This window comes from Homo sapiens, chromosome 2, assembly GCF_000001405.40.
Source record: "Homo sapiens chromosome 2, GRCh38.p14 Primary Assembly".
Lineage (NCBI taxonomy): Eukaryota > Metazoa > Chordata > Mammalia > Primates > Hominidae > Homo > Homo sapiens.
The window spans coordinates 14,776,845-14,792,355 of NC_000002.12; the positions used below are offsets into that span (position 1 = coordinate 14,776,845).

At 41.2% G+C, this 15,511-nt stretch overlaps 1 protein-coding gene across 1 annotated transcript in view; it reads right to left on the minus strand.

Moving 5' to 3' along the window:
• NBAS (NBAS subunit of NRZ tethering complex) overlaps positions 2,065–15,511 on the minus strand; it is a 782,426-nt gene continuing 768,979 nt past the window's right edge. Inside the window, exon 54 of the transcript XR_007076390.1 lies at positions 2,065–2,303. The gene's annotated coding sequence lies outside the window, so the exon portion shown is untranslated. The remainder of the gene's footprint in view (positions 2,304–15,511) is intronic.

A 15,511-nucleotide genomic window follows, 5' to 3' on the forward strand; every position in this document is an offset into this window, starting at 1 on the left:
GCCAGAAAAATCAATAGTATTTACCATGTGTAAATTTTTCTACCCTCCAGAGTCCACAGTTCCCACTACTTAAAACTCGAAGAGAGGTGCCAGTTACAGAGCATGCTATAAGGAGGGATTTTTGATGGTCAAAATGTGCACCGACGCTCCTCAGAGCAAGGGCTGGGCCGGTGCTAGCAAATAATAGAGAGGAAGAAAGAAACTCCAAGGTCCCCATGTATGTTTATTTATTTTTATTAATATTATTTGAGATGGAGTCTCCCTCTGTCTCCCAGACTGGAATGCAGTGGTGCGATCTCAGCTCACTGAAACCTCCACCTTCTGGGTTCAAGTGATTCTCCTGCCTCAGCCTTCCAAGTAGCTGGGATTACAGGTGCCCACCACCATGCCCGGCTAATTTTTGTATTTTTAGTAGAGATGGGTTTTCACCGTGTTGACCAGACTGGTCTCAAACCCCTGACCTCAAGTGATCTGCCCACCTCAGCCTCCCAAAGTGCTAGGATTACAGGCCTGAGCCACCGCGCCTGGCCCCCATGTATGTTTAAATGATGGAAATAAGGTTTTTATGTAAAGAGAGATTTTGGAGAGACAAAAGATGCCAGGCATCCAAAGTCTAGTTGCATTTCATAACAGAAAAAAATTAGACATAGGTGAGCTTTTCTCCTCCTCAAAAATTTTAGGATTAGGCCAGATATTAGATCTAGAAAAGAAATGAGAGGGTATCTAATTCTTTGAGTTCCATCTTTGGGTTCTGATTTGAAAATGATCATGTTTGTCCTAATTATTGCATCCTTTTTAAATGCAATATTTTAATTACTTTTTAATTTTAAATGACACTAAAGAAAAATGTGGGGTTTTTTTTAAGAAGTAAAAGGGGCATAATTTTAAAGCATTTGAAAAACACTGATCTAGTTCAGCTCCCTTAATCTAACAGTGGGGAAGTTGAGCCCAGCAAGAAGTGAGTCTGGAAGCTCACTCACGGCAAATGACAATTATTTTATGAAAATACCAGTAATAATTATAATAATGGATTTATTTTATTGAATATTTACTCCTATGACCAGTTTGGATAGGCACTTTACATAAGTATTTTCAATTCTCAGAGCAATCCCATATGGTAGGGCTACTATTATAACCCTTTTAAAGCTGGAGAAACTGGGCTCAGAAATGTTAGGAAATTTATCCAAGATCACACAGTGAACAGTCGGGGGATCTGGGATTGAAACCTCGTCTGTTTAGTTCTGAATCACCTTTTGTGTTTCAAAAACCATGCTGACTTTGCAGATACTTATAGGAACCTAGATACTTACAGGAAGTTATAGGAACCCAAAAACTTCACCTTCTGAATAATTAGTGTTCTGTGCTCAGGACTGAGGATTACCTAAAGATGGTCTTACTGTGAAACAAGGCATGAATACACAAGGAGGTGAGTAATAGCAATATGGCACAAATACTTAGTGACTCAGTGAGTGAGGAATTAGGGTACTAGGAGTAACAGAGGAATTAGTAGGAGCAACAGAAAAGGCTTTAGGAAAGATTGGATAGTTTTTGACAGGAGGAAAGAAAGGGATATTATTTCAAACTGAAGTGGTTAATCCAAACCATAGAAATAGGAAAACATAAGATATGGTGGGTGACTGTAAGTAAATCCTGGAACCATGGGGTTCATGTACCAGACCAGAAGAAATGAGATTGGAAGAAGAGGAAGAGATTGCATTGGGAAGGAAGCCAACTGCTGGGCCAAGAGAACTTAGATTTTGTTGGGGGAGAGTGTGGAACACAGGATGCAGGGAAGTTCCCCAAACAGTTATTTGAATGGCCTCAATATCACCCTACAAGGACCTGGACTCAGATGTTTAAAAAAGAAGGACAAATGAGAGACACATTGTGGAAAAAAAAAAAGAAAAGAAAATAACATGAATAAGTTCAGGAAACAATAGGGATTGGGGGACAAAGAAAAGGCATTGGTTATAGATGGTTCACATTGATGCTCATGGAATGGAGATTGTTGTAGCATCATTAGGAAAATAACAGTAATGTTATGAAGTAGATGAACACCCCTAATTTGTACAGTGCTTTTTATTTACAAGTTTCTTTTGCATATGTCTCTCAGAATGTCTCTGAAAGATTAGCAAGTTAGATATTATTCTCACCACTCTACAAATGAGCCCTCAGAAGCCAAGATCAAATGACTAATCCAAGACGCTTTGATCTTTGATTTGGAGTCCAAAATCTCTTGCAGAGTTCAGGTAATCAATGCAGTGAAAAGTATGAAGGATCAGCAGAACACCAATATCCAGGAGCTGAAGATGAAACAGAAAAGAGTGGGTAGGCATCTTCCAGACAGAGGCACTGATGTCCATGACAAGATCACATGTCTCATATTAGGAATTATCATTTTGGTTCATTGAACTGTGTCTCCCTCCCATGACTAACACAGTGACCTCCTAACAGGTATCTTTGTTGCAGCGCTTGGCCCCTTCAGCATAGTCTCAATGTAGTTGTCAGAATAAACCTGCTGAAATACAATAGCTCACATCAGTCCTCTGCACCGTTTGAGTGGAGTGCAAAGCCCAAGGTCAGCAGGCCCCAGGGACAGGCTCTGGCACCTTGCTGACCTCATTTCCTTAGCTCCTCACTATGTTCCCTCCACCCTGCAAACTGGCTCCTGGCTGTGACTCAAACCCACCAGGCTGGCTCCCACCCCAGTGCCTTTGTGCCTGCTATCCGCTCTGCCTACAACAGCTTTCCCAGACCAGATGTTCACTCCTTTAGTTCTCACCTTATCAGCGCTTCCTGGCTCCTCTATTTAAAATAACACCCCTGCCACCCTTCTCAGCTTTAGTGTTCTCCACAAAACTTGCCTCCACCTCACATACTATATATTTGTTTGTTGTCTCACTCCCAATTCTGGGCTGTGACCTGAGGAAAGCAGATTTTTGTCTTTTTTGTTCACTGCTATACCCCAGTGTCTGCAAGAGTTTATTGTATACAGTAGGATATTTTAAAAGATTTTTCAGATGACTGAATGAGTGAATTCTATAGTATCGTGAAGTTTTCTTGTTTGTTATTACATATATAACTCTCACATGACCCAAAGGGCCCATTTCTTTGTCAATATGTCACTGGCTGTCACTAATGACCAGCCAGGTGCTAGTCCCTGGGACCCCCGATCTTAACCCATTTCAGTCTCCTCTTTTTTCTGCTCCACATGTGGAGAGCAGAACTGAAAGAAAGGCAACTTCCAGTTTTTTCATACTCAGACTAGTGGTGTTAACACAAGCATTTAACCTCCCCAAACATCAGACACTTTGCAGTAAAATGGGGATAATAGTAGCTTCCTCCTGGGCTTGAAAATTGATTAGAGTTCATGGTTAGATGTGATATGAAAAATGATTTTTGAAATTAGTGTAACCTATGGGCCTGTACAAATTAAACACATGGAATGTCTTTTAAGCCAAAACTCTTAATCATGTAATTGCTATTTATGCAGCAGAACTTAGCCTGGATTTTGGATTCAGTCTGGAAGTTGATACTCTGCATTCCTGCAGGAAATGAAATTCTGTGAGAGGCGATCATGCTCAGTCCCTTCTAAATTAGGCCTTCATTTGATTTAAAGAGCTAAGACTTTCTAGGATGGCACTGCCAGATGCAAACATAAGCATAAAAGTTCTTTTAAAAGTCAGATGCAAAGATTTGGTAATCGTTCACTCTCCTCAATTATCCAATTAGCCATGTGTTTTGGAAGAATAGCTAGTTGTACCTTCTTCATAAAGCTTGCTTTCATCAAACATTCACCAGGGGATGAACCATTCTGTTTTTGTCTCCCAGAGATCTTCGAAGGACAAGTTAGAACCCCACTTTCACCCCAAATAACTTAGGGAACCTTTTTTTGGGGCAGTACATAATTGGTACTAAATCTTTATCATGCTGCACTGTGATAATCTGCTTATGTGTTTTATACATCTGTTTCCTCCAATAGACTTGGAGCTTCTTAAGAATAAAACTTGCATTTTCTTTCTTTGTAAATTTGGTCACAAATTTTTATTTGCATATTTTAGGTGCTTATAAAAAGGAAAGGAGGAAGAGAGAATGAGAGAAAGAGAGGGAGGATGCGAAGGCAGTAAGGGAACTAGAGAGACAATTCTATTTAAAAATTTCAGCCATCTTGGACAGAAAAATTTCATGAAATACTTTTTCTAGCTGGTAATTTGGCATTATCCATGCATACTGGAAAATATGCAATAAACAAAATGAAAAATGTTCTCTGCCATCTCCCTCTTTACTGGGATTGAAATGATGTTGCTAACAGTTAGAAGACGTATTTTAAATTGGAGGCTTCCTTGGTATTCCATGAGATTTCCATCTCTCATTTGAACAGACATCAATAACATTGAAGACTCTGTCTCCGTAGTGCCTTTACAATTTAGCACTTGTAAAAATGAGACTTTCCAGCTCATTAACTTGCTTACGCAAATACAGCCCAGAACCAGTTAATCCTGAAAAGTGACTACTCTGTTTTCATCTTTTAATGACGGTTTTATGCCTGGACTTCAGCCTAAACTAAATAAAGGCTCTTGACAGAGACTACTCATTTCCTACCTGGGCTACTTAAAAAAAAAATCTACAGGAAAAAAAAAAAATCCAATACAGCATGGCAGGTTCTGGTCATTTCTTTTCTGAAAATGGCAGAGGACATCATTATTCAATCCAAAGGCAAGGCTGCAGCAGCCAAGTCAAAGTGGTTCTCGATCAGCATGGGAATAGCAAGGTGCTTTAGATGACATTCCTGAGAGCCATAACCAGACTGGGGCCCCTCATTATATGTCCCTGAGACCTCCCTGAGAGTACTTTTATGAAGCACTCTCATGTTAAGGATCTATGTCTATGAGCTATTGTGACAAAAAAAAAAAAAACTGGCATTAAGTGTGTTTAATATCCCCATCCTTTAAGATGCAGATGTGCAAAAGGCAGAGAATTAATTGACACTGATAGTAACTGAAAGCTTGCTCTTGAAATTCTCCCCCTAAACAACACCCATTCTCTAACTCCTGAAGCATGAAATCCAAAGTCCATCCTCCTTAGCATGATGGTCATAGCCCTAATGATTTTGCTCCAACCCTGTCTGTCTCTTCCTCCTCCCCCGCCACAAGTTCATGGACCCACCATGCCAGGCTGTGTACTGTTACTGAAGCCTGCCTTCCACTAATAAAACTCCACTGACTGGGGTATCCATCATAATGGCCAACCCCTATTTTTACCTTTCAAACCCAGGTTAAAGTTCTTCCATGATCCTGGGCTAACAAGTAAAATCAACCTTTACATCCTCTGTTCTCCCCTAGCACTCCAGATTTCTCTTATAAAACATGCATCTGCTTCCTAAGCTAGGAAGCATTCATTAATTAGAACTTGTTCTTAAAACAATGTTCCCCCCATTAAAAAAATGGGCAAAATACATGATCAGACACTTTTCAAAAGAGGACATACATGTGGCCAACAAGCATATGAGAAAAAGCTCAATATCACTGATCGTTAGAGAAATGCAAATCAAAACCGCAATGAAATACCATCTCACACCAGTCAGAGTGGCTATTATGATAAAGTCAAAAAATAACATGCTGGCAAGGTTGCAGAGAAAAGTGAACACTTATAAACTGTTGGTGGGAGTGCAAATTAGTTCAACCATTGTGGAAAGCAGTGTGGTGATTCCCCAAAGAGCTAAAAACAGAACTACCATTTGACCCAGCAATTCCATTACTGGGTTTATACCCAAAGGAATATAAATCATTCTATCATAAAGACAGATGCACACATATGTTCACTGTAGCACTATTCACAATAGCAAAGACAAGGAATCAACCTAAATGCCCACCAATGTTAGACAAGATAAAGAAAACATGGTACATATACACCATGGAATACTACACAGCCATAAAAAAGAATAAGATCATGTCCTTTGCAGGGACATGGATAGAGCTGGAGGCCATTATCCTTAGCAAGGTAACAGAAGAACAGAAAACCAAATACCACATGTTTTCACTTACAAGTGGGAGCTAAATAAGGAGAATACATGGACACATAGAGGGGAATAATAGACACTGAGGCCTCCTTGAGGGTGGAAGGTGGGAGGAGGGAGAAGATCAGAAAAAATTGCCATTGGGTACAAAGCTAAGTACCCAGATGATGAAAAAATCTGTACAACAAACCCTTGTGAGAAAAGTTTACCTATATAACAAACCTGCACATGTACCCCTGAACCGAAAATAAAAGTCAAAAAATAAAGACAGAGAAAAAATAAAAATAAAACTGGGTTTTCCACATTCAATCTGATAATGAAATGGCAAATTGACTATGAATGAATGAACTAGTCACCCTGTTGTGACTAAACGTACTGGAAAATGTGGTTGACCTAACTATTCAGCCTAGTCAGATTGCTGGAGCCTCTGAACAAAAAGTTCCTCCAAATTCTTTTTTTTATTATTATTATTATTATACTTTAAGTTTTAGGGTACATGTGCACAATGTGCAGGTTAGTTACATAAGTATACATGTGCCATGCTGGTGTGCTGCACCCATTAACTCGTCATTTAGCATTAGGTATATCTCCTAATGCTATCCCTCCCCCCTCCCCCCACCCCGCAACAGTCCCCAGAGTGTGATGTTCCCCTTCCTGTATCCATGTGTTCTCATTGTTCAATTCCCACCTATGAGTGAGAACATGCGGTGTTTGGTTTTTTGTCCTTGCAATAGTTTACTGAGAATGATGATTTCCAATTTCATCCATGTCCCTACAAAGGACATGAACTCATCGTTTTTTATGGCTGCATAGTATTCCATGGTGTATATGTGCCATATTTTCTTAATCCAGTCTATCATTGTTGGACATTTGGGTTGGTTCCAAGTCTTTGCTATTGTGAATAGTGCGGCAATAAACATATGTGTGCATATGTCTTTATAGCAGCATGATTTATAGTCCTTTGGGTATATACCCAGTAATGGGATGGCTGGGTCAAATGGTATTTCTAGTTCTAGATCCCTGAGGAATCGCCACACTGACTTCCACAATGGTTGAACTAGTTTACAGTCCCACCAACAGTGTAAAAGTGTTCCTATTTCTCCACATCCTCTCCAGCACCTGTTGTTTCCTGACTTTTTAATGATTGCCACTCTAACTGGTGTGAGATGGTATCTCATTGTAGTTTTGATTTGCATTTCTCTGATGGCCAGTGATGGTGAGCATTTTTTCATGTGTTTTTTGGCTGCATAAATGTCTTCTTTTGAGAAGTGTCTGTTCATGTCCTTTGCCCACTTTTTGATGGGGTTGTTTTTTTCTTGTAAATTCGTTTGAGTTCATTGTAGACTCTGGATATTAGCCCTTTGTCAGATGAGTAGGTTGTGAAAATGTTCTCCCATTTTGTAGGTTGCCTGTTCACTCTGATGGTAGTTTCTTTTGCTGTGCAGAAGCTCTTTGGTTTAATTAGATCCCATTTGTCAATCTTGGCTTTTGTTGCCACTGCTTTTGGTGTTTTAGACATGAAGTCCTTGCCCATGCCTATGTCCTGAATGGTAATGCCTAGGTTTTCTTCTAGGGTTTTTATGGTTTTAGGTCTAACGTTTAAGTCTTTAATCCATCTTGAATTAATTTTTGTATAAGGTGTAATGAATGGATTCAGTTTCAGCTTTCTACATATGGCTAGCCAGTTTTCCCAGCACCATTTATTAAATAGGGAATCCTTTCCCCATTGCTTGTTTTTTCTCAGCTTTGTCAAAGATCAGATAGTTGTAGATATGCGGCGTTATTTCTGAGGGCTCTGTTCTGTTCCATTGATATATATCTCTGTTTTGGTACCAGTACCATGCTGTTTTGGTTACTGTAGCCTTGTAGTATAGTTTGAAGTCAGGTAGCATGATGCCTCCAGCTTTGTTCTTTTGTCTTAGGATTGACTTGGCGATGCAGGCTCTTTTTTGGTTCCATATGAACTTTAAAGCAGTTTTTTCCAATTCTGTGAAGAAAGTCATTGGTAGCTTGATGGGGATGGCATTGAATCTATAAATTACCTTGGGCAGTAAGGCAATTTTCACGATACTGATTCTTCCTACCCATGAGCATGGAATGTTCTTCCATTTCTTTGTATCCTCTTTTATTTCATTGAGCAGTGGTTTGTAGTTCTCCTTGAAGAGGTCCTTCACGTCCCTTGTAAGGTGGATTCCTAGGTATTTTATTCCCTTTGAAGCAATTGTGAATGGGAGTTCACTCTTGATTTGGCTCTCTGTTTGTCTGTTATTGGTGTATAAGAATGCTTGTGATTTTTGTACATTGATTTTGTATCCTGAGACTTTGCTGAAGGTGCTTATCAGCTTAAGGAGATTTTGGGCTGAGACGATGGGTTTTTCTAGATATACGATCATGTCATCTGCAAACAGGCACAATTTGACTTCCTCTTTTCCTAATTGAATACCCTTTATTTCCTTCTCCTGCCTAATTGCCCTGGCCAGAACTTCCAACACTATGTTGAATAGGAGTGGTGAGAGAGGGCATCCCTGTGTTGTGCCAGTTTTCAAAGGGAATGCTTCCAGTTTTTGCCCATTCAGTATGATATTGGCTGTGGGTTTGTCATAGATAGCTCTTATTATTTTGAGATATGTCCCATCAGTACTTAATTTATTGAGAGTTTTTAGCATGAAGGGCTGTTGAATTTTGTCAAAGGCCTTTTCTGCATCTATTGAGATAATCATGTGGTTTTTGTCTTTGGTTCTGTTTATGTGCTGGATTACATTTATTGATTTGTGTATATTGAACCAGCCTTGCATCCCAGGGATGAAGCCCACTTGATCATGGTGGATAAGCTTTTTGATGTACTGCCGGATTCAGTTTGCCAGTATTTTATTGAGGATTTTTGCATCAATGTTCATCAAGGATATTGGTCTAAAATTCTCTTTTTTTGGTTGTGTCTCTGCCCAGCTTTGGTATCAGGATGATGCTGGCCTCATAAAATGAGTTAGGGAGGATTCCCTCTTTTTCTATTGATTGGAATAGTTTCAGGAGGAATGGTACCAGTTCCTCCTTGTACCTCTGGTAGAATTCGGCTGTGAATCCATCTGGTCCTGGACTCTATTTAGTTGGTAAGCTATTGATTATTGCCTCAATTTCAGAGCCTGTTATTGGTCTATTCAGAGATTCAACTTCTTCAAGGTTTAGTCTTGGGAGGGTGTATGTGTCAAGGAATTTATCCATTTCTTCTAGATTTTCTAGTTTATTTGAGTAGAGGTGTTTGTAGTATTCTCTGATGGTAGTTTGTATTTCTGTGGGATTGGTGGTGATATCCCCTTTATCATTTTTTATTGTGTCTGTTTGATTCTTCTCTCTTTTCTTCTTTATTAGTCTTGCTAGCAGTCTATCAATTTTGTTGATCCTTTCAAAAAACCAGCTCCTGGATTCATTGATTTTTTGAAGGGTTTTTTGTGTCTCTATTTCCTTCAGTTCTGCTCTGATTTTAGTTATTTCTTGCCTTCTGCTAGCTTTTGAATGTGTTTGCTCTTGCTTTTCCAGTTCTTTTAATTGTGATGTTAGGGTGTCAATTTTGGATCTTTCCTGCTTTCTCCTGTGGGTATTTAGTGCTATAAATTTCCCGCTACACACTGCTTTGAATGTGTCCCAGAGATTCTGGTATGTTGTGTCTTTGTTCTCGTTGGTTTCAAAGAACATCTTTATTTCTGCCTTCATTTTGTTATGTACCCAGTAGTCATTCAGGAGCAGGTTGTTCAGTTTGCATGTAGTTGAGCGGTTTTGAGTGAGTTTCTTAATCCTGAGTTCTAGTTTGATTGTACTGTGGTCTGAGAGACAGTTTGTTATAATTTCTGATCTTTTCCATTTGCTGAGGAGAGCTTTACTTCCAACTATGTGGTCAATTTTGGAATAGATGTGGTGTGGTGCTGAAAAAAATGTATATTCTGTTGATTTGGGGAGGAGAGTTCTGTAGATGTCTATTAGGTCCGCTTGGTGCAGAGCTGAGTTCAATTCCTGGGTATCCTTGTTAACTTTCTGTCTCATTGATCTGTCTAATGTTGACAGTGGGGTGTTAAAGTCTCCCATTATTATTGTGTGGGAGTCTAAGCCTCTTTGTAGGTCACTCAGGACTTGCTTTATGAATCTGAGTGCTCCCGTATTGGGTGCATATATATTTAGGATAGTTAGCTCTTCTTGTTGAATTGATCCCTTTACCATTATGTAATGGCCTCTTTGTCTCTTTTGATCTTTGTTGGTTTAAAGTCTGTTTTATCAGAGACTAGGATTGCAACCCCTGCTTTTTTTTGTTTTCCATTTGCTTGGTAGATCTTCCTCCATCCTTTTATTTTGAGCCTACATGTGTCTCTGCACATGAGATGGGTTTCCTGAATACAGCACACTGATGGGTCTTGACTCTTTATCCAATTTGCCAGTCTGTGTCTTTTAATTGGAGCATTTAGTCCATTTACATTTAAAGTTAATATTGTTATGTGTGAATTTGATCCTGTCATTATGATGTTAGCTGCTTATTTTGCTCGTTAGTTGATGCAGTTTCTTCCTAGCCTCGATGGTCTTTACAATTTGGCATGATTTTGCAGTGGCTGGTACCGGCTCTTCCTTTCCATGTTTAGTGCTTCCTTCAGGAGCTCTTTTAGGGCAGGCCTGATGGTGACATAATCTCTCAGCATTTGCTTGCCTGTAAAGTATTTTACTTCTCCTTCACTTATGAAGCTTAGTTTGGCTGGATATGAAATTCTGGGTTGAAAATTCTTTTCTTTATGAATGTTGGATATTGGCCCCCACTCTCTTCTGGCTTGTAGAGTTTCTGCCAAGAGATCCGCTGTTAGTCTGATGGGCTTCCCTTTGTGGGTAACCCGACCTTTCTCTCTGGCTGCCCTTAATATTTTTTCCTTCATTTCAACTTTGGTGAATCTGACAATTATGTGTCTTGGAGTTGCTGTTCTCAAGGAGTATCTTTGTGGCATTCTCTGTATTTCCTGAATCTGAATGTTGGCCTGCCTTGCTAGATTGGGGAAGTTCTCCTGGATAACATCCTGCAGAGTGTTTTCCAACTTGGTTCCATTCTCCCTGTCACTTTCAGGTACACCAATCAGACATAGATTTGGTCTTTTCACATAGTCCCATATTTCTTGGAGGCTTTGTTCATTTCTTTTTATTCTTTTTTCTCTAAACTTCCCTTCTCACTTCATTTCATTCATTTCATCTTCCATCACTGATACCCTTTCTTCCAGTTGATCGCATCGGCTCCTGAGGCTCTTGCATTCTTCACGTAGTTCTCGAGGCTTGGCTTTCAGCTCCATCAGCTCCTTTAAGCACTTCTCTGTATTGGTTATTCTAGTTATACATTCGTCTAAATTTTTTTCAAAGTTTTTACCTTCTTTGCCTTTGGTTTGAATTTCCCCCTGTAGCCGGAGTAGTTTGATTGTCTGAAGCCTTCTTCTCTCAACTCGTCAAAGTCATTCTCCATCCAGCTTTGTTCCGTTGCTGGTGAGGAACTGCATTCCTTTGGAGGAGGAGAGGCGCTCTGCTTTTTAGAGTTTCCAGTTTTTCTGCTCTGTTTTTTCCCCATCTTTGTGGTTTTATCTACTTTTGGTCTTTGATGATGGTGATGTACAGATGGGTTTTTGGTGTGGATGTCCTTTCTGTTTGTTAGTTTTCCTTCTAACAGACAGGACCCTCAGCTGCAGGTCTGTTGGAGTTTGCTAGAGGTCCACTCCAGACCCTGTTTGCCTGGCCACAGAACAGCGGTGGCCACAGAACAGCAGAATTTCATGAACCACAAATGCTGCTGTCTGATCGTTCCTCTGGAAGTTTTGTCTCAGAGGAGTACCTGGCCGTGTGAGGTGTGAGGTGTCAGTCTGCCCCTACTGGGGGGTGCCTCCCAGTTAGGCTGCTCGGGGGTCAGGGGTTAGGGACCCACTTGAGGAGGCAGTCTGCCCTTTCTCAGATCTCCAGCTGCATGCTGGGAGAACCACTGCTCTCTTCAAAGCTGTCAGACATGGACATTTAAGTCTGCAGAGGTTACTGCTGTCTTTTTGTTTGTCTGTGCCCTGCCCCCAGAGGTGGAGCCTACAGAGGCAGGCAGGCGTCCTTGAGCTGTGGTGGGCTCCACCCAGTTGGAGCTTCCTGGCTGCTTTGTTTACCTAAGCAAGGCTGGGCAATGGCGGGCGCCCCTCCCCCAGCCTCGCTGCCGCCTTGCAGTTTGATCTCAGACTGCTGTGCTAGCAATGAATGAGGCTCCGTGGGCATAGGACCCTCTGAGCCATGTGCGGGATATAATCTCCTGGTGTGCCGTTTTTTAAGCCTGTAGGAAAAGCGCAGTACTGGGGTGGGAGTGACCCGATTTTCCAGGTGCCGTCTGTCACCCCTTTCTTTGACTAGGAAAGGGAACTCCCCGACCCCTTGCGCTTCCCAAGTGAGGCAATGCCTCACCCTGCTTCGGCTGGCACATGGTGTGCTGCACCCACTGTCCTGCGCCCACTGTCTGGCACTCCCTAGTGAGATGAACCCGGTACCTCAGATGGAAATGCAGAAATCACCTGTCTTCTGCGTCGCTCATGCTGGGAGCTGTAGACCGGAGCTGTTCCTATTTGGCCATATTGGCTGCCAAGTTCCTCCAAATTCTAAAACTCTGATATTTTAGGGGTATTCAGGCCATATATTGATAGAAATGTTTTAATACATTAGAACTCTAAATTTCTGAAAACTATTGGGCCAGTTAATTACCTTGCAATCATTCATACTTAGAGCAAACACATGTAGGCACAGACATCTTACAGTGAAAAGATGAAAATAAAATGATCCTAAAAGTAATTTTGCAAGATTGGAGGGATACCACCTCTCCCTTGGCCTCTGTGCCTTGTACGTGCTTCTATACTGATCCATTTGTTTATGGGGCCATCTCCCCATGACAGACTGAGCACAATTAAGGAAAGTAGAACTGTGTATTCATCTTTGTATCTCCAGTACTGCTGTACACAGCAGATGTTCAGCAAATGTTTAACAAATAAATAAATGAAACCAGAAACTGGACCTAATGCGGGAATTGTAACTTATTTGTAATAAGGGAACAGAAAACAGTCTAAGCTAAAGCTGAGCCATCCTTGGAATGGCAAGAATTACATTTATTGAGCTATTACTATTTGCCAGGCACAGAATATGGATTATTTTACTGAATCCCCCACAACACCACTGAAGAAACCAAATTACACAAAGTAAAGGACTTGAGTCCAAGATTATACAGCCAGGAAGTCACAGAGCCAGGATTCCAACTTAGGGTTCTCTGAGTCAGGAGTACAAATACTTAACAGCTATTTCACACTACCCACTTACTGCTAACTTCTTTGTGATCTTAGACAAATCATTACTTTAAAAATAGTCTCATTTTCCACACTGGTAACATAAGAGGTTTTGTACCAGCTGTTCTCTAGTGTCTCATCCAGTTCTGAGATTCTATAATCCTATCAACCAAAATTAAAGAACATTTGCTTTTGAGCCAGCCTCTGTGACAGGAGATAAAATAGTTACCCATTTATGGATTCCTCTCATACCAGTGAAATAGTCTGTTTTGCAATGTAAAAGCCAAAACTGTACTCTGAAATACTTCAGATTTCTTTCGAAAAAGTCCAAGTAGGGGAGGCAATCAATTTTCTTCCTTTCCTCTAAAAAAGAAATTGTGTGATAGAAACAAAAACATCTCAACAGAATAGGATGCTGTATCCAAGCCACTCTTTCAATCTCATGAAGGTAGATACTTCTCACAGAAAGAATTCATGCCTTTTTTTTTTTTTTTTTTTGAGACAGAGTTTCACACTTGTTGCCCAGGCTGGAGTGCAACGGTGCGATCTCGGCTCACCACAACCTCTGCCTCCTGGGTTCAAGCAATTCTCCTGCCCCAGCCTACTGAGTAGCGGGGATTACAGGCATGTGCCACCACACCCAGGTAATTTTGTGTGTGTGTATGTATGTGTGTTTTGTTTTGTTTTTGTTTGGTTTTTTTGGAGATAGAGTTTCGCTCTTGTTGCCCAGACTGGAGTGCAATGGCGCGATCTTGGCTCACAGCAACCTCCACCTCTCAGGTTCAAGCGATTCTCCTGCCTTAGCCTCCTGAGTAGCTGGGATTACAGACATGTGCCACTACGCCCAGCTGATTTTGTATTTTTAGTAGAGACGGGGTTTCTCCATGTTGGTCAGGCTGGTCTCAAACTCCTGACCTTAGGTGATCCACCCGCCTTGGCCTCCCAAAGTGCTGGGATTACAGGTGTGAGCCACCACGCCGGGCCCTAATTTTGTGTTTTCAGTAGAGACAGTGTTTCTCCGTGTTGGTCAGGCTGGTCTTGAACCCCCAACCTCAGGTGATCCACCTGCCTCAGCCTTCCAAAGTGCTGGGATTACAGGCATGAGCCACCACATCCGGCCTTCATGCCTTTTTTCTAACAATCTTTGAGAAATTTATCCCTAGTATACAGTTGTCTAGGCAAACCTGCTAAGTGGAACGAAAACACAACCATCTCCACCAATATCCTTGAAGAGAAAGTAAATAAAGTGTTGAGAAATTAAGATGAGGAACAATTGAGAATTCACTGGGTGTAAAATTTTGCACCAACCATAAGATGTGGGCAAGGGGAAGAGAATATAAAATGGGCATGAGGTTGGGAACAGTGGTTCACGCCTGTAATCCCAGCACTCTGGGAGGCCGAGGCAGGCACATCACGAGGTCAGGAGTTTGAGACCAGTCTGGCAAATATGGTGAAACCCCATCTCTACTAAAAATACAAAAAAACTAGCCGGGGATGGTGGCGTGTGCCTGTAGTCCCAGCTACTCGGGAAGCTGAGGCAGAAGAATCGCTTGAATCCAGGAGGCGGAGGTGGCAGTGAGCCGAGATTTCACCACTGCACTCTATCCCAGGCAATAGAGGGAGACTCCATCTCATAAATAAATAAATAAATAAATAAATAAATAAATAAATAAAATGGGCCTGAGTAGAACAGGTGGAAAGAAGTGAAAAACAGGCCTAGTCTCAACAAGCAGCCTGATCCCGAAAACATCTTGGTTTCCATGGGCTCAAGACTCTCCTCTTCTGACCAGAAACACTACAGAAACCTAATTTAGAGGGTGATCAGGTCAGGACATCAATAGGGGGAACCTACCACATCTCTCCCTAGTGGAGAGATACCTGTTGGCCTGGCCTGGGAAAACCACTCCCACCCCCTCAGGCAGCAACAGCAGGAACCAGGTGAGCCTCAGCATCACCTGTTAACCCAAGAAAACCAAAATAACACTGCACAGGTTCTGAAACTAAATATCAAAACCTGTCATTGGAATAACAGCCCAAACGTACAGACACTCCTCGACTTACAATGGGGTTATATCCTGATAATGCTATGTTAAGTTGAAAATATCATAAGTTGAAAATGCCTTAATACACCTAAGCTACCAAACACCATAGCCTAGCCTAGCTAGTGCTCAGGACACTTATAGTG